This window comes from Homo sapiens, chromosome 4 (assembly GCF_000001405.40).
Source record: "Homo sapiens chromosome 4, GRCh38.p14 Primary Assembly".
NCBI classification, from domain to species: domain Eukaryota; kingdom Metazoa; phylum Chordata; class Mammalia; order Primates; family Hominidae; genus Homo; species Homo sapiens.
This window is the reverse complement of record NC_000004.12, coordinates 184,679,158-184,698,587: the sequence shown is the minus strand read 5'-3', so window position 1 is coordinate 184,698,587 and position 19,430 is coordinate 184,679,158. Positions and strand designations below refer to the sequence as shown.

General features: G+C 39.3%; 2 protein-coding genes across 31 annotated transcripts in view, besides 1 other annotated feature; one reads left to right on the top strand and one right to left on the bottom strand.

The window, feature by feature from the left end:
* CENPU (centromere protein U) overlaps positions 1-4,503 on the top strand; it is a 40,012-nt gene extending 35,509 nt beyond the window's left edge. For 4 of the 5 annotated variants that reach the window (NR_104593.2, NM_024629.4, XM_005263218.5 and 1 more), the window contains 2 exons: positions 785-941; positions 3,187-4,503. Coding sequence is in view for 4 of the 5 variants with exons in the window: in NM_024629.4 (NP_078905.2) it covers positions 785-941; positions 3,187-3,300 (271 nt within the window). In the remaining variant the exon portion in view is untranslated. Of the gene's footprint in view, positions 1-784; positions 942-3,186 lie in introns of those variants that run through there. The other variant, XM_047416163.1, reaches the window with a different exon arrangement.
* PRIMPOL (primase and DNA directed polymerase) overlaps positions 3,636-19,430 on the bottom strand; it is a 45,215-nt gene continuing 29,420 nt past the window's right edge. For 7 of the 26 annotated variants that reach the window (NM_001345891.2, NM_001345894.2, XM_011531720.2 and 4 more), the window contains 7 exons: positions 16,252-16,340; positions 13,090-13,179; positions 12,904-13,012; positions 7,234-7,272; positions 7,007-7,089; positions 6,876-6,922; positions 3,636-4,066 (listed from right to left, as the gene is read on the bottom strand). In NM_001345891.2, coding sequence (NP_001332820.1) covers positions 3,809-4,066; positions 6,876-6,922; positions 7,007-7,089; positions 7,234-7,272; positions 12,904-13,012; positions 13,090-13,179; positions 16,252-16,340 — 715 coding nt within the window. In that variant the 3' untranslated portion in view covers positions 3,636-3,808. Of the gene's footprint in view, positions 4,379-6,875; positions 6,923-7,006; positions 7,090-7,233; positions 7,273-12,903; positions 13,013-13,089; positions 13,180-16,251; positions 16,341-19,430 lie in introns of those variants that run through there. The other 19 variants (NM_152683.4, NM_001345897.2, NM_001345900.2 and 16 more) reach the window with 9 other exon arrangements.
* Positions 9,215-10,414: an enhancer, noted in NCBI's record as "P300/CBP strongly-dependent group 1 enhancer chr4:185609328-185610527 (GRCh37/hg19 assembly coordinates)". NCBI's record gives its function as "activates an origin of replication core promoter dependent on BRD2, BRD4, P300/CBP, MED14 and CDK7 cofactors, with strong dependence on P300/CBP, by STARR-seq in HCT116 cells {active_cell/tissue: HCT116}" and the evidence as "EXISTENCE:reporter gene assay evidence [ECO:0000049][PMID:35650434]".

Here is a 19,430-nt window from a genome sequence, read left to right as displayed (position 1 = left end):
TCCCAGCTACTCGAGAGGCTGAGGCAGGAGAATCACTTGAACCTGGGAGGCGGAGGTTGCAGTGAGCTGAGATCACGCCACTGCACTCCCAGCCTGGGTGACAGAGCAAGACTCTGTCTCAAAAAAACAAACAAAAAAGACGTTTTTATGAAATTATATTAGAGAATTGTGTTTTATATCTTTATTTGGCAAAATACAAAATTTGCCGCCTTTGCCCCTCATTTTTTTGTTGGTCCATAAAACCCAAGTTATCCCTTTTTATTTTATAGATGAAGAAACTCAGCCACTGAGAGATGAAACAGTTTGCCCCAAGTCACACATTTTCATCCAGGCACTGACAGTCTTCCACTGGTTTTATTAGACTTTGGAAAGTGGACAAGATTTGATAAGAGGAAGGAGCACTGGGAAGGCTTTTTCTCCATGGTTTCTGTGTTAGACTGTAGTGCCTGGCTCCGCTGGTGCGAGCCTCTGAATGTCAACCAGGCATACATTTGATCCAGTAGTTCCCAAGACTTGAACGGCTTGATGAATTTCAGCATTTATAAGGAATATTCTTCTGTGGATATCACTGCTAATTATTCATTGTGCATTGTATTTCAGAGATTTTTTTTCCTACATTTTAAACTGAAACCCAGAATCTTTTACACATTCGTAGTTTCAGAGCCAAAGCAAGTCATCTAGTTGGCCAGCCCCGGTTCTTCACACTCGCTCAGCGTACTTACAACCTCAGTTTCACCACGATAGGCTGGTACATTTTATTATTTGTCACTTATTTTTGTTTTAGGTTAGAGCCACAGCTGAAACAACTACAAACAAAATATGATGAACTTAAAGAGAGAAAGTCTTCCCTTAGGAATGCAGCATATTTCTTATCTAATTTAAAACAGCTTTATCAAGATTATTCAGATGTTCAAGCTCAAGAACCAAACGTAAAGGAAACGGTAACTCCAATTTTACTTTTTACCATGCTTCAGAAGATGATTGTGGGAGGGCATTTTCATGCTAGAGTATCAGAAGCTTTGGGGAAAGACAAATGCAGATACAGAATTACAGAGTCCACCTAAAATAGTATCACTATAAGCCAGTGAAACTTCATTATATCAGCACTTTTCTTAGCTACTTAATGAAGGCTGGAGGAGTAATGTCTAGAATTGCTGATTGTGTAAGGTATTTTCACTCGGACAGCTGAATTTCATCAAGGGAAGTTTTTATTCTGTGTATAAATCTCAATTGAAAAATCACACTCTGCTGTATTACAGTTTTCATTCATGTAAGACCACTCAGCCATGTTCGAAAGACCAGCCTCTTCTGTTTGGTCTAGCCCATGTTCACGGCATCTTTTGCATATGAAAAACAAGCTATTTTCCCGTATAAGTGGTAGGTAGGATTTTAGAAGTTAAGAAACAGGCCGGGTGTGATAGCTCTCACCTGTAATCATAGCACTTCGGGAGGCTGAGGCAAGTAGATCCCTTGAGCCCAGGAGTTCAAGACCAGCCTTGGGCGATATGGTGAAACCCCATCTCTACTAAAAATACAAAAACTAGCCAGGTGTGGTGGTGTATGCCTGTAGTCCCAGCTACTCAGGAGGCTGAGGTGGCAAGATCGCTTGAGCCCTGGAGGTCCAGGCTGCACTGAGCTGTGATCGCACTACTGCACTCCAGCCTGGGTGACAGAGCAAGACTTTGCCTCAAAAAAAAAAAAAAAGTTAAGGAACATTAAAAAGGAATATAATGGGAAAACAAGTTTATTGTTTTAATACATTTTGTAGTTGCTTCTGGATTTTTACTGCAGACTTTGCTACTGTTATGCCATCTGCCTCAGATTAATAGAAATGTTTAAGTTCTAGGAAAGAAATTTGTATTTGTATGCCCTAATATAATTTTATATAATATATATATATGTAATGTATACATATTTTATGATCAGATTTGTATTCACTTCTAAATTCAATGTTAAGGTTTTGACACTGATCTAAATTAATTTTCCTGAGCCTAAGGTTTGTGTATATATTAGAGATCCAGAAATAGAATGCTTTTAAAGGTATTTTTTTAATTACCTAAGTAGTCCAAAGCTTATGATTTGGAGTTTGTTACTAAATTTGGGCAAGTTATCTGTAGCATTGATTCAGCTTGAACATAATACTTTGGTTAAAAGCGAGGTTTAGTGTCTCTGCCTTGTTTGGAACACACCACCTGATGAGCGTCCTGTTCTTAGAGTGAGCTCAATGCCTTCTTGCACTCCTCTTGTATTAACTGTCCCTTTTGCCTTATTAAGTGTAGATATTTGGGCATATGTCTTACTCTAAACATTTAGTGACAAATGTGACTTCTTCCCCTTTATTCCTCCCTAGAGCAGGTGCCCATGGGAGCTTGAACACATTAGTTTGTCAAATATTTGTATAAAATTCCATTATCATGTGTGTGGTAGTCACAGCATGACACCTTTTCTGCTGTCATCTTGAAAACATGCTATTAAACAGCAAACTATCAAAGTATGACAAAATTCTGTAAGAGGAATTTAATCATGCACCCTTAGATACAATTTGCAACTGGAAGTTTGACTTTGTTAATTATTTCAAAATCATGAGTTGGATATTGTATTTTATGTTGGGTTTGTATTCTAATTTTAACATGAATCATTAAGAACATTTGGATTGGCAGCCTTTGAGACATTTAATTGATTCTCCCAATAAATAATTTCTTGAGATGATAGATTTGGGTTTTCTTTTTTCCTTAAGAACTTTTATGGATCTGGTGTTCTCATTCCATTAGTTATTTCAGTTAAAGTAAAACCTGTCTTACAGTTTTCTGTGTTTTAAAATAGACATGATATCAAGCAGATTCTACACAGCACGAGCAGACCTGCCCAAACCAAGCCTTGACATGTCCCAGATGTGATTTCCTGTCTCCAGTAATAGAGATGATACAATTCTTTGAATCAGCTGGTCTTCTGGGATAAGAAGATCAGTTCAAGCTTTGCAGAGCAGCTCCCTAGCAACTTTGTGATCAATTATATTCTAAGGGAAATGGATTAAAACCAATTGTCTTAATGGTCCTAGTTAAAAATGAGAGGAGGAGTAGTTAATGGAAAGCTCAATCAAAATTTGCATTAGTCATAAGATTGGGCTATCTAAGGACAAGGTTATGAGTTTTTGATATTGCTAATTATATAATTTTCTTTCAACAGTATGATTCATCCAGCCTTCCAGCTCTGTTATTTAAAGCAAGAACACTTCTGGGAGCCGAAAGCCATCTGCGAAATATCAACCATCAGTTAGAGAAGCTCCTTGACCAGGGATGAGAAGAGCAGTCTACTAAAATGTGCCTATAGGAAGACTAGTCTCATGCTGTTACCTTCTGAAACTGTACCTTTATAAATCAATTGTTTTGCAAAGAAGTTATGGCCTACTTAGAATCTAAAATTTGTTATTCAAATTAAATGGCTGTGAACAATGTTAAATAGCATCAGTTTGTCCAATAGTTTTAAAGGCCATAATCATCTTTTCTGGTTAATATCTTGAGTAATTTTAAAATGTTGACACCTTAATCGGTCCCAGGTATGAGCTATAATAAACTTGTAAAATTAAGTTGATGTGAACATAATTTTGATTAATTAATAAGGCGATTTCTCCTGAATTTACACCAAAGCTAATTTTTAATGAAATTGGTTTACAGAAGTAAAAAACAAAAATTGGAAAGCAAAGTAATAAAACTTAGTTTATATAAACAGGTTGAATGATATATTTATCAAATCTCACAGACATCAGGCAAATTATAGCCTGGTGACAAAAGTGTTCATAGTGAATTAGTTACTCTTGTAATACTTCTATAATTAGTTCATCAGGAATTTCATCCACTTCACTGTTATAACTGAGAAGACTGTTCTCTGCAGCTTCAGCTAATTCAGCATCTTCAGTAGCTTCTAAAAAATAAGCATCATCAATGCCATTATCCCAGACAGCATCAGCAGATGCACCTGTTGACAGCCTGCTAGGTGATGGTTTATGAGGATTCTGGGTTTCATTGCTCCTAGTTTCATCTGCTTCATCTGTTGTAAACTCTTCTTCCTTTATTTCAGTGGTGAAGGGATAGAGAGTGGGATAGGAAAATATTTACTCAGGATATGTGATTTAACCTTATACTCTATGTTGAAGTAAGGTATTAAGTGACAGATACTAAAGTGAATATGCAGGAGGAATGCTGTCTCCGATATCTCACCGTGGGAATGAGTGCACTGATTCAAACGTTGCTGCACTGAAGCTCAGACACACTTGAAACTCCAAATTTGAAATTACCTACAGTTCTGTGCACATACTTTTCAATACTCCCCGACGGAAGAGCAAGGGTGGATTTAATTTTTTAACAAGTGGACAGTCCAGCTGAAGACAAATCAGAAGATAAATTTGCTATCTTGACAATGGACTTAGTACCCATGCTTTAAATTTTAAAGTATTTAGCAAATCGTAAACATGGATTGAAAAAAGATTAAAAACAGTTGCCAAAATATGACTGGATTGTATATTACATAATAGTATTGTATCAATTATTTTACCATAGAATGTCTTCAGTATAGACATTTAGTTGATCCGCCCAATACATTATTTATGTAAAGAATGTCCTTATTCAGTGCAGTGGCACGTGCCTGTAATCCCAGCTACTGGGGAGGCTGAGACGGGAGGACTGCTTGAGGCCAGGAGTTTGAGACCAGCCCGGGCAACATGATACCCCCCTGTCATTAAAAAAGCTACAGAATGTCTTATTCTTTCCGCTACGTGCTTAAATATTAGATGAAGGGTTTTGATGTCTGCAGTTTAAGAGAGTCATCAAAAATAATGCGTATGTATACAGTAGAGGGAGAAAACCAATGTGGCCAAGTGTTAACAAATGGCAGATCTCAATAGAGGACAGACAGCAGAGTTCCTTATTCTTGTACATTTCTGTAGGTTAGGCCTTTATAGTAAATTTAAAATCAAGTGACCAATGAAATATCAGTGCAATAGAAAAGCAGGTATAAATAACACCAACTGGTAATTTAAAATATTTGTTTTAAAAAACAAGATGAAGCAGGAGAGGCAAAATGTTAACTGAAAACTAAGTGACAGCTACATGGGTGTTCATTATATATCTTACTTTAAAAAGTTATGTCCAAGTAGTGGTAATACTGACCAATGGTACTTTCAACTTGGCATTTTTGAGGTGTTACTAGATAAGCGGAAAAAGTAGCTTAAAAATCCACTGCAACCACGAATATCTAAATCACAATCCAGACTAACAAGGGCGATGCAATCCTCCTCCTCTTGGAGACAGTTTATTTTTTAAAATTTACTTTGTTCTTGGTTATTTCAAAACACATTTTAACCTGGTATTTTGCCAGAGAATCTGGCTATCAGTTATTTTATGTCCAGTTCTTGCAGACCAAGAATGGAATTTCCACCATTTCAAACATATGGAGTTTTTTCGAGAGACGTGTTAAGACTGAGTTTTCTAGAATATAAACCCCATCACCTGTTCTGCTTGTAGCAGGTAACTTCTTTTATTCTATTAACACTATAGAGGAGAAAGCTGACAGATGTGACAAAAAACAAAACACAAACTACAATTTAAAAGTGAAATACGTCAAAAACAGTACTTAATTACTGCAAAAAAGTTACAGAAAAATGGACAGAGGACAGGTACAGGCACTTCATTATAGAAATACTAATAGTGAATCCGAAAAAAGTTCATTACAGAGATGCAAATTAAAACAACTGAGGTACTGCATTTTGCCTACCAGATTGGTAGTGATTCGAGGTAAACAAGCACTGCTGGCAAAGTGTGAGGTAATAGGTGCTCTCATAAATTATCTGTGGAGGTCTAATATCCTATACTTTTTATGGAGAGCAATTTGATAATAGGTACTAAAAATATTTGTGATACTTTAGAAAAAAAACTGAAATAGTATGTGTGCTATCACTTCAAAAAAAAAGAAAATGAGCATACATAAATTCTCGAAGGTACGTGCCAAAACGTGTATCATTTATTTCTGGTCAAATGAGTAAGGAAGATTCTTTCCTCTTTGCTTCTTGTGTATTTCCTAATTTTATGTATTTTCTTTCTTTTTTTTTTTTTTTTTTTTTTGAGGCAGAGTCGCTCTGTCTCCCAGGCTGGAGTGTAATGGCGTGATATCAGCTCACTGCAACCTCCACCTCCCAGGTTCAAGGGATTCTCCTGCCTCAGCCTCCTGAGTAGCTGGGATTATAGGCATAGGCCACCACACCTGGCTAATTTTTGTGTTTTTAGTAGAGATGGGGTTTCTCCATGTTGGCCAGGCCGGTCTCAAACTCATGACCTCAAGTGATCTGCCTGCCTCAGCCTCTCAAAGTGCTGGGATTACAGGCCTGAGCCACTGTGCCTGACCTAATTTTATGTATTTTCAATTCATTCTACAATGCACGTTAATTATTTGGGTAAATAAAAAATCTTTAAGAGAAAAATGTTGGTTTGACAACCTGGTAATACCTACCAAAATTAAAACTGAATATGCCCTTTGACACAATTCTACTTCTAGAAATTCATCCTACAGATACAGATGTTCAAAGAAATACAAAGATGGGTATTTTGTTACTTTGAAAAGCAAAATATGGGAAACTTCTTAAATGTCTGGGACTGATTAAACTGTACACCTCAAGCAGCAGTAAAAAAAAAAAAAAAAGGTTTGTATTATCAGATATGTGCTGAAATGGGAAAATCACTACAATATATTCCTATAATACAGTCATAAGTGAAAACAAGGTAGCAAATGGGTTTCAATGCTATTTGGACACTACTCATGGCTCAGGTATACTATTGTACCAAGAACTCCCTGGTAAGGAGAAAGACACTAAAATCTGTACTTACCTCTTTGAAAAGAAACAGGAGACATACTTCAGCAGGTAATGGGAAACCTGAATCAGAAAGATAGCAAAACTATTACATATTACAGTTATCTAATTTTTACTTTGTGGTAAATGTAAAAATTAGTAACTTACAGTCAGATTTGAAGTTTTCTGCTTTACATACAGGGTCATGACATTTTTGATACCAAACTTCATTTTTCAGATCAACCAGAATCCTTTATGTTTAAAAAAAAAAAAAAAGTATTAATACCAAGACTGGGTAGAAAACAAAATCCAGCTGCATGCTGTTCCAAGAAATATGCCTAAGACTTAAAGATGGAGAAAAATTAAAAAGTAAAAGGATAAGGATAGATACATACCAATCAAAACGGTGGTTGCCAAAAATCACACAAAATGAACTGCAGGGCAAAAAGTAGATACTGATGAAAGTTCCCCCAGGAAGATGTAACAATTCTCAACCTGTACTCACCAAATAATACAGCTGCAAAATATGTGAGCAAAAATGGACAGGACCACAATGATAAACAAATCTACCATAAATCAAGGTTTTTAAAAAACATACTCTCAGTAATTTATAGATCAAAGGATAACCACAAAAAAGGTCCAATAAGGATACAGAAAAAATGAATGACAAAAAGCAATTAAGAAGTTTGATCTAATAGGTAAATATGAAGCAGTTCTTTATAAAACCAATTCCATGCTAGCTATAAAGTGAATTTTATCAAATTTAAAATCATCACTTCATACAGAACACATCTGAGCATAAAGCAAATTTTAGAAATAAAACTAATAGAAATCCATAATTTGGAAATTAAGAACAACTTGAAACAACCAATGGTTCAAGGAAAAATAGTGGAAATTAGAAAACGCTTAGACCTGAGTGGACTGGAAGTGTACATATTAAAATATGTGAAATGCAGCTAAAGTCACCTTTAGAGGGTAATTTATAGTCTTAAAATCTTGTGTTATGAAAGAAGAATAGCTAAAGATACATGGATTAAGTGACTAACGTGGAAAACAACGAACTGAATAAAGAGACCAGCCTGGCCAACATAGTGAAACCCCGTCTATACTGAAAATACAAAAATTAGCTGGGCGTGGTGGGGGGCACCTGTAATCCCAGCTACTTGGGAGGCTGAGGCAGGAGAATCACTTGAACCTGGGAGGCGGAGGTTGCAGTGAGCCAAGCTGGTGCCACTGCTCTCCAGCCCGGGTGACAGTGTGAGACTCTGTCTCTAAATAAATAAATAAGTAAATAAATAAATAAAAGGCAGGCAGTCATAAAGAGACAAAAGTAAAAAGAATCAACGAGGCCTACATTTGAAGAAAATGAAATTAGGGTAAAATTGATTTAAAAATAAGGCAAAGACACAAATGTTATTAGAAATTAAATGCATCATATGTTTTTAAGAAAACAATATTGTGAACAACTTTTGCCAGTAACTTTGAAAGTTTTTGTAAAATAAAGTACTACATAAAAATAAACTAAGCAAACTTAAAAAGCAACAGAAAACCTAAACAATCCTATAATCACTAAAATTCTTAAAGATTTGATTAAATAGTTGAAAATGTTCCCACATTTTACAGAAAAGGAAATAAGATGGTTAACACTCCCCATGGCAGTAGGTGAGGTGTGGGATGGGGAGGTGGTAAGGGACCTGCACCCAGGAGCAAAAAAAGGCAGGTGACTTAGTCTAATCTTCCCTTAAACATTCTAGTAACAGGCCTCCCAATTAATGAGCTAATAATGCTGTGGCTCCCAAACTGTACAGGAAGGTGCCCCGGGCACTGCAGGATATTGAAATACTGCTAGAAAACACAGTGATACTTGACATTTCTTGAGCAATCTGAAAACTCCTTGCCTGCAGTTCACATGTGACTTCATTCCTTTCATTCATGCTCCATCTTTGTAGAGCTGGGCTTTGGGGTGTGGTTGTAATAGAAAGCACCATTAACATCAGGCCGGGCATGGTGGCTCGCGCCTGTAATCCCAGCACTTTGGGAGGCCGAGGTGGGTGGATCACAAGGTCAGGAGTTCGAGACCAGCCTGGCCAACATGGTGAAACCGCATCTCTAATAAAAATACAACAAAAATTAGCCAGGCGTGGCGGTGGGCACCTGTAATCCCAGCTACTCGGGGGGCTGAGGCAGGAGAATTGCTTGAAGCCAGGAGGCAGAGGTTGCAGTGAGCCGAGATTGCACCACTGCACTTCAGCCTGGGTGACAGAGCAAGACTCCATCTCAAAAAAAAAAAAAAAAAAAAAAAAGCACCATTAACATCAATGGAGAACAAGGTATGAGTTGGGGAGGGTGGGGTCTAATCTGATTCCAGGGTTTAAGAGTGCATACATAGGCCTGGTGAGGTGGTTCACACCTGTAATTCCAGCATTTTGGGAGGCTGAGGTGGGAGGATAGCTTGAAGGCTGGAGTTCAAGGCCAACCTGGGCAAGAGAGGGAGATCCCACCTACAAAAAATTTAAAAATTAACCAGCCATGGTGGCACACCTGTAGTCTAAACTACGTGAGAGGCTGAAGCAGGAAGATCGCTCAAGCCCAGGAGATCAAGGCTGCAGTGAGCTCCTGCACTCTGTCCTCAAGCCTGGGCCATCACACTGCACTCAAGCCTGGGCGACAGGGCGAGACCCTGTCTCAAAAAAATGAAAAAATGGAGAGTATACATCCCATTAATAAGTAATTGTATTTAAGAATGAAAAGTGGCTTTTTTTTTTAGTTTATGGATACTATTATTCAAACTGCTACTAAACTGTTCGGACATAAACACTTACCAAGTTGTTTGAAATTCATTACCAGAGCTCGGGTATTTCTGTCAGCCTCAGAGAAAATGTGAAGAAACAAAGACACCAGGGGAACCATGAACCAAGAAAATCGGGGAACGTCTGGACCAAACGCTAGGAGTTCAGTCCTTACCTACAGAATGCTCTTCGTAGGACGTTTCTGACTTTAGAACTGCATTTGGTAAAAAGTCTAGAATCAATGCATTATGAGGCATGCTTTCCGGAAATGTCACCCAGCTGTGCAACTTGAGTGTAAAATGCAGGTGATTCACAACCTCGGTGCTTCCTGCTGTGTGCATGGATTGCTCACGCCTGCCTCGGGTTTCCTCCTGAGTCAGAAAGAGCAGGAAGGGCCAGGGGAGCCGGGCCAGATGCCCCGGGCCTCACTCTGCCCCATTTGTGCCTTTTCATTCCTTGTATTCCTACATTATTAGTAAAGCTTGACACTGGGCAAGATTTCTGATCTGTGTGGATGTAATTTGATTATCCATCCTCAACTTCATTAGTAATCAGGGAAATTCCCAAGAAAACTACAATATTGTTTTACATCTGCCAGATGAGCAAAACCAATTTTTTAATCCTAACAATACTAAAGTGTTGGTGAGAATATGGAACAGTAGAAAAATCTCAAAACACTGCTGGCAGGACTATAAACTGGCACACCCATTTGGGAAAACAATTTATGATCTAGTAAAATTAATTATGTGCATATTCCACGACACAGCAAGTCCACTTTGAGAAACTCTAGCACATGTATACTAGGTGATATGTACAACACGGTTCCCACCTTCACGGTTTATAATAGCAACCCAAATGTCCACTGTGGGAAAACAGATAAACTGTGGCCTATTTATATTTATACACATGGCATGCTGCACAATAGTGACACAAATAAGCAACAGCTACATACTGCAACGTGGGTGAAAATCACAGATATGCTACCGCAAGGCAAGGGAGAGGATGCGATTCGAAAACAAGCAAAAGAAAACACTATATTGTTTATGGCCGGGCACGGTGGCTCATGCCTGTAATCCCAGCACTTTGGGAAGCCAAGGCAGGCAGATCACCTGAGGTCGGGAGTTCGAGACCAGCCAGACCAACATGCAGAAACCCCGTCTCTACTAAAAATACAAAAAATTAGCTGGGCATGGTGGCGCATGCCTGTAATCCCAGCTACTCGGGAGGCTGAGGCCGGAGAATTGCTTGAACCCGGGAGACAGAGGTTGCAGTGAGCCGAGATCGTGCGATTGCACCCCAGCCTGGGCGACAAGAGCAAAACTCTGTCTCAAAAAACAAAAGAAAAGAAAAAGAAAACAGTATATTGTTTAGAGATATGAACGTATATGGGAGAAATCATAAAAGCGAGGAAAAGATGAACACAAAATCGGGATACTGGCTACCATCTCTGAGGGCCAGGGAGAGAAGGAAATTGGGGTTGGGCCCACAGGTGCTTCTGAGGTTTGATCAGCTTCTGGTTGTTAAGGTGGGCGGCAGATACAACAGGTGGTCACTTTAGTCTTTAAAATGTGCGTATACAAGTGTGTTATCGGCTGGGTGCGGTGGCTCACACCTGTAATCCCAGCACTTTGGGAGGCCAAGGCGGGCAGATCACTTGAGGTCAGGAGTTTGAGACCAGCCCAGCCAACATAGTGAAACTCCGTCTCTACTAAAATTACAAAAATTAACCGGGCATGGTAGTACACACTTGTAATCCCAGCTACTTGAGAGGCTAAGGCAGGAGAATCACTTGAATCAAGGAAGCGGAGGTTGCAGTGAGCTGAGATCATGCCACTGCACTCCAGCCTGGGCAACGGAGTGAGATTCCATCTCAGAAAATAAAAAAAAGTGTGTTATCTATACTTTTGTATGTATGATATATTCCACGGTTAAAAAACAGAATAGATTATGGAGACATAATACAAGGTGTTATGATCACCATGTAATAATGATTTTTTGGTAAGTTAATACGCATAGAAAAAAGAACAGAAGAAACGTCAACTGATAGCTGCAGTTATGCCCTGGCTGTGGCACTGTATCTCCTTCGTGTTTTCTACGTTATAGCTTTGTGTATTGAGCATATAGTTTTTGCAAGCTTTTTTTAAACTGAATTAATCTAAGTATATCAAGTATGGCACTGAACCATGCTACCCAATGTGTTTCCAGCTTCCCAGCAAGAGCTTCCCGATCATTCCCCATGTCCAGCACACAGGCCGCATATGCTTGAGGATACGGGAGTTGCTTTGACATGAAATAAAAAACAGCAAAATTTCTCACCTCATAACTGATAACTACTGGGTATCTATTTATCTCTATTCTAATCACATCCTTTTATATTTTAAAGTTCTATTTCTGGCTTTACTTCATCCTTTACTTTCCCTCCTCTTCCCATGGGCGTTTTAAAGAAAATCTCTAAAACAGGGCCTGGCATATATAGCAAGCATTCAATAAATACTAGTTCCCTCAGTACCATGCTGTGTCTTGAACGAGTTAACACAATCCTAGCTCCAGCTCTTAACACTAACTGAGGAGATCCCTTCTTGCCCAAACCTGCGCACTTTCGACGTAGAGTCCATAAGGTGGCAAGGGCCAATGGCAACAGGAAGGACAGGCATGCTTCCCATCCTCACTGCTCCCTGCCCACAGCCTTCTCCCAGCCCTGCTCAACCCCACCTTTGTCCTCTCCACATATACTAAGGGGTTATCTTAGCAAAGAAAGTACACATAAAGCTGACATGCTAGAAGCAACGCAATAATCACAACATTTAAATTAAATATTATGTAATGCTAACCATATACAACAAATAGAAATTTAATACAACAGCTGAGTGCAGTGGCTCACACCTGTAATCCCAGGACTTTGGGAGGCTGAGGTGGGTGGATCACAAGGTCAGGAGTTCGAGACCAGCCTGGCCAACATGGTGAAACCTTGTCTCTACTAAAAATACAAAAATTAGCTGGGTGTAGTGGCAGGCGCCTGTAATCCCAGCTACTTAGGAGGCTGAGGCAGGAGAATTGCTAGAACCCAGGAGGCGGAGGTTGCACTGAGCCGCGATCGCGCCACTGTACTCCAGCCTGGGCGACAGAGCAAGATTTCGTCTTGGAAAAAAAAAAGAAATTTAATACAACTAAATTTATTTTTAAAACAAAATAGTTTTCATATTCGCAACTTTAAAAGTTATAAATATTTAAAATATAATATTGGTTAAATACACACAAATCATTAATATTACTTACATTATATTATTACTCTTATGGGCTCTTCCAATGTTTTCACACCACCGATATTTACAAATATCATAAACCAGTAATTCTTCTGGGAAAAAGTAGTTCCAACGCCGAATTCCTAAAATGCAAATAATGTTTCTAAAGCTACTATCACTCTATCATATAACAGTTAACAAAGGATGAGATTAACTTTACCTCCTTTAATGCCATCTTTATTCACCAAAGAAAGAACAAAATGATCAACTTCAGGATAGGGAGAACACTGAAAACCTTCAATGGTTTCTACTGCAACAGAGAGAATGGTTTATAAATTACAATAGCTGAAAGTTGAGAAGTTAAATTTTGATTAAATGTTGTTGAGCACAATTACGGGTTTTGCAATCTCTCAGCCTTCCCTCACTCTTTGCAATTTCAGTCAATTCATGTTTGTGACACTACAAGGAAGCAGGTAAGATTCAAACCTCTCAATTAGGTCAAATGTTAACTAATTTCATAAAAAGCGTTTGAAATAATTTCAACTGCTGTCTTCATTTTGGCAAAGAGAAAGGCAGTCCCTCACGTCCATAACAGGCCTAGCTCCATCAGCCAGGTCTTGGTGTTGCCATGCACTAGCCTGGCACGCCTACCTCAGCCGGGCATTCTCCTGTGAACACAGGCAATCTCACAGAACTTCAACAACAGATAAGGCCCCTGTGGTCATGAGGACTCAAGGCACAAAGATAACCACTCTGTAATCATGTCCCAACACAGGCAAAACAGGAACATCTTCCAAACCACAAACATGACCAACACCCCCGATCCCAGCTAACAGAAGCAACTGCTGGTTTTTTTGTTTGTTTTTTTTAACAAAGTACAGTGTTAATTTCTATTCTGATTTCCTTTCAGTTAAGCTTTACTAAGAAAACCAGTCCTAGAATTGTCCCTAACAACACCCAACTCAGAACAAACCCCAAACTTCCTGGTATACTCCCCCAAGCCACCCATTCCAAGCCCAAATCCAATCCTCCCGGTCCTTTCCAACCTCCTCTTCCCAAGATGCCCCACTTTACTGAAGTTTCCCATGGTGTGTGCTCACCATTGCTTTCCTGGCAATACACTCAGCTGACCTGCTACAGGTGTGTGCCCTGAGACCTTTAGCTGGAAGGTACTGACAATACAATTATATTTTCTATCTAAAAAGCTACTGTAGTAATTTAGAATGACCTATTTTAAATATCATTTAATTTTTTTTTTTTCTTGAGACAGAGTCTTGCTCTGTTGCCCAGGCTGGAGTGCAGTGGCGCGATCTCGGCTCACTGCAAGCTCGGCCTTCTGGGTTCAAGCGATTCTCCTGCCTCAGCCTCCTGAGTAGCTGGGATTACAGGCGTGCAACACCACGCCTTGCTAATTTTTGTATTTTTAGTAGAGACGGGGTTTCACTGCATTGGTCAGGCTGGTCTTGAACTCCTGACCTCATGATCCGCCTGCCTTGGCCTCCCAAAGTGCTGGGATTACAGGCGTGAGCCACCGTACCCAGCCAGTATCATTTAATTTTTAAGGACAAGAATCTAGTTTGCTTTAAATGAAGTTTATGTTTCACTTACTAAAATAATATATATAATTGGAGAAATATTGAAAAATATATTAATGTGGAAATGTGAGAGGCAGACTCTAAATCAATGTCTATAAATACATATAAGACAAGAAAATAAACATAAGAAAATTTATCCATATTTTAAAGCTTGTAATCATACCATACACATAATTTTAGAGACTAGTTTTTCTTTTAACATCACAAATGGGTGTTTTCCACATTATACAGGCTTCACAAATTTAAATTTAACAGCTAGAGGATTTCATAGTATATAACCAATTCAATTTTGTTGTACATTTAGATTGCTGTCAGTTTTTTGCTATTATAAATAACAATATATGAAAATATGTGTATAAAAATGTTTACTGGAGGGCTTATGTAAGAAATCTTTGAAAAAAACACTCTATGTTCTTCAGTAGAGGAATGGGTAAGTTATGACAGAGCTATACCATGAAAAACTATACAACCATTAAAAGACTGAGGAAGATCTCTCTCTATATATAGGAAATATAGGAAACGCTCTTCTAGGTTAAATAGCAAATGATTGCAGTGGTTACCTGCCTTTGATCATGGACAGAAGAGTGAAAAAGAACTTTACATTTTCATTTTGTTAACCTACATTATTTTTGTAGTTTTTTGAAAAACACCATAAAATGAAAATTAGTGAAATTAGTGAATAATACTTTTTTTTTTTTTTTGAGATGGAGTCTCACTCTTGTTGCGCATGCTGGAGTGCAATGGCACAATCTCAGCTCACTGCAACCTCCGCCTCCCAGGTTCAAGTGATTCTCCTCCTCAGTCTCCTGAGTAGCTCGGATTACAGGCACCCGCCACCATGCCCTGCTAATTTTTATATTTTTAGTGGTTTCACCATGTTGGCCAGGCTGTTCTCAAACTCCTGAACTCAGGTTATCTGCCCGACTCAGCCTCCCAAAGTGCTGGGATTAGAGGCATGAGCCACCACGCCCAGTGAATAATACTTCTTAATAAACATCTTTCTCATACTTTTTCCATTTGAGATAGAAAACCTGAAGTAGATTACTGATTGATTAATTGATTAATTGACTGGTTGAGACAGGGTCTGATTCTGCTGTCCAGGCTGGAGTGCAATGGCACCAACAAGACTCACTGTAGCTTCAACCTCCTGGCCTCAAGAGATCCTCCTGCCTTAGCCTCCTGAGTGGCTGGGACTACAGGCATGCACCACAATTCCTGGCTAATTTTTGGATTTTTTGTAGAGATAGGGTTTTGCTAAGTTGCTCAGGATTGTCTCTAACTCCTGGGCTCAAGTGATCCTCCCGCCTCAGCCTCCCAAAGTGCTGGAATTACAGGTGTGAGCCCCTGTGCTTGGCTAGAGGTAGTTTTTGAAAGGTCAGTGATTATGAACACTTAACACTGAAGATTTTAAAGGCAAAACAGATTCTGTACCCTTACATTTTGATAGGAAATTATTTTTTAAAAATTACCTGAAGTAGCTGGGTGCAGTGGCTTGCACCTGTAACCCCAGCATTTTGGGAGGCTGAGGCAGACAGATCGTTTGAGCCCAGGAGTTTGAGACCAGCCTGGGCAACATGGTGAAATCTCATCTCTACTAAAAATGCAAAAATTATCTGGGCGTGATGGTGCACACCTGTAAACCCAACTACTCCGGAGGCTGAGGCAGGAGATGGCTTGAGCCTGGGAGGAGGAGGCTGCAGTGAGCCGAGATCGCACCACTGCACTCCAGCCTGGGTGACAATGAGAGATGCTGTCTCAAAAAGAAAAACAAACATCAAAAAATTTACCTGAAGTGCCGATACTGTTAAAATATCCAACTCCTTTTTGTTTATTCTGAGATGGCTCACATGTAAGAATTCGTAAAGTATCTGAGAACCTGAAGAAGAAATAGGTAAAAGAAACAAAGCACCATCACACTGGAACTAACAAGGCCTGGCTACAGAAAGGACACTGAATTCCTAATAGTTCCTCATTAAAATCCTTTGTTCAGCAGATAATTGTTCTAGGACATTTATGCCACATTTGCCCACAAAACCACAAACCCTACACATATAAAAAAAATATGATTTGTCAATTAAAGAAAATAATTTTTTTAAAAGAGTAGGTTGGTGATTACTTATAATACTATCCTTAATTACAGAATGGATCAGGGGACTCTAGGACTGCTGAAGCCCTGTGTCCATGGTTTCTTATCTGCAGATTCAACCAACAGCAGATCAAAAGTATGTTTTTTAAAAAACAATAAAAATAGGCCAGATGCAGTGGCTCACGCCTATAATCCCAGGACTTTGGGAGGCTGAGATGGGCCGATCACTTGAGGTCAGGAGTTTGAGACCAGCCTGGCCAACATAGTGAAACCCCTGTCTACTAAAAATACAAAAATTAGCTGGGCATGGTGGCAAACGCCTGTAATTCCAGCTACATGGGAGGCTGAGGCAGAAGAACTGCTTGAACCCAGGAGGCAGAGGTTGCAGTGAGCTGAGATTGCACCACTGCACTCCAGCCTGGGAGACAGAGTGAGATTCCATCTCAAAAAAATAAGTAAATAAGTGAAAATAAAAATAAAAAAACAATAAAAATAATAAAAATAATACAAATTAAAAACAATATAGTATAACAACTATATAGCATGTGCACTATATTAGGTATAGGTAATCTAGAAGGATTTACAGTATTATATAGGGAGGATGCGTGTGGGTTACGTGAAAATAGTACATCCTTTTATATCTGCAGATTTTTGTATCCACAGGGACCTTGGAATAATAATCACCCACAGACACCAGGAGACGACTATATAACTCTATTCACCAAACACAAAGAGCCTTTGAATTTTTTGTTACAACAATTTTAGAGGTGTGACTTATAGGAAGAAATGAAGAAAGAAGGAGGGGTGAGAGCAAAGGGGAAAAACAGATTAAAATTAACGGAAAGAAAAGGTACATTCATAACCATAAAGGATTTAGCCTTTATTTCAAGAAGTAAACTACCTGGTATTTACTTGGAATACACAAAAGACAAGGTAACTGTATTCAGTAGAAGAACCCTCCACCTCTGTAAGATTCATATTTAAACTGCGAAAGAAACGAGATTGGGTAATCGGGAGATTACCTGCACTTCGGGCTGTAGTTGCTTTTCCCATATGAGCTAGAACTAACAATGTTGCTTTTCACACTTCTCCATACGTGGCAGAAAGAATGTGACCTTATTCTGGTGCCAATAGGGTGTGGCAGGAATTACACAATTTTTACACTCCTGCTACGGCACTTTGCACTTCAGAATCCCGGATCTACTACTGCTACCAACAACATTCACTGAGCAGATGTCATGGGCTGGGCACAGCTGTAAATGTTTTATGTGCAGTTTTAACTTTTTAAATCCTCTCGACAACTCCGTAAGATAGGTGTTAGTATCACTTCCATTTAAAAGTAGGAAACTCAGACCTTACTTCTGAGACATGTTATTAAAGAACTCAAAGAGTACAAATATACTTATATATATATATGAAGAAAAACAATCCATCTTCCACCCTCCTGGGTAACGGCTGTTAACTGTACAACCTGATACCTACAGCAATGTATTTTAGACAATTACTAAAATTAATTTCTAGAGAATCTTTCCTTAAAATTATATTTAAGTGGCCGGGCACGGTGGCTCACGCCTGTAATCCCAGCACTTTGGGAGGCCAAGGTGGGCAGATCACATGAGGTCAGGAGTTTGAGACCGGCCCCCCCAACATGGGGAAACCCCATCTCTACTAAAAATACAAAAATTATCTGGGTGTGGTGGCACACACCTGTAGTCCCAGCTACTTGGGAGGCTGAGGCAGGAGAATCGCTTGAACCTGTGAGGCAGAGGTTGCAGTAAGCTGAGATCGCACCACTGCACTCCAGCCTAGGCCACAGAGCAAGACTGTCTCAAAAAAAAAATTATATTTAGAAAGGCAAAAGGAAAAGAATTATGGCAAGTTGATGGTAATTTAGTCTGAACCTTAACCATGTTTTGGGCTGAAAAAGTTGCCAGCCTAGAAAAACAGGGAATGAAGGCAAATACAGTTAAGTCCTCACTTAAGGCCATGGATAGATTCTTGGAAACTGCAACTCTAAGAGAAATGACATCTAGCAGGTCTTTGAATAATGTTGTTTTGTTCAACATCATTTCCTTATAACGGCAGTCCCCAACCTTTCTGGCACCAGGAACCGGTTTCCTGGAAGACAATCTTTCCATGGGTGGGGCAGGGGCAAGGTGGGCTGGTTTCAGGCTGAAACTGTTCCACCTCAGATCATCAGGCATTAGATTCTCATAAGGAGTGTGCAACCTAGATCCCTCCCATGTGCTGTTCACAGCAGGATTTGCACTCCTATAAGAATCTAATGCCACTGCAGATCTGGCAGGAGGCGGAGCTGAGGTGGGAAGGTGGTATTGCTCGCTCGCTCGCCTACTGCTCACCTCCTGCTGTGGGGTCCAGTTCCCACCACAGACCACTGGTCTGTGACTCAGGGACCACTACCTTCTAACATGGATGAGAAAAACAACTGGATTCATCACACATTATTTAAAGTTCAGTTTCCAATAACTTATCAACATCAAATGAAGACTTACTATAGTATTTCTGTTGAAAGATGACTTTCACAGATTTTATTTTTATTTATTTATTTATTTTAGTTTTTAGCAATGGGGTCTCACCCTGTCACCCAGGCTGGAGTGCAGTGGTGCATTCATAGCTCACTGCAGCTTTGAACTCCTGGGCTCAAGTGATCCTCCTACCTCAGCCTCCTGGGTAGCTGGGACTACAGGCACATGCTACTGTGCCTAGCCAACATTAACACTTTTAAAAAATGATCAAAACATGGGAACCTAAAGGCTCAACAATAGAACTCACAATAAATTCCAGTGTCAATATAATGGAAATTTACATAGGCATTAGAAGTTTTATTTACAATTAATTGTTGGCAAATTCTTAACAAAT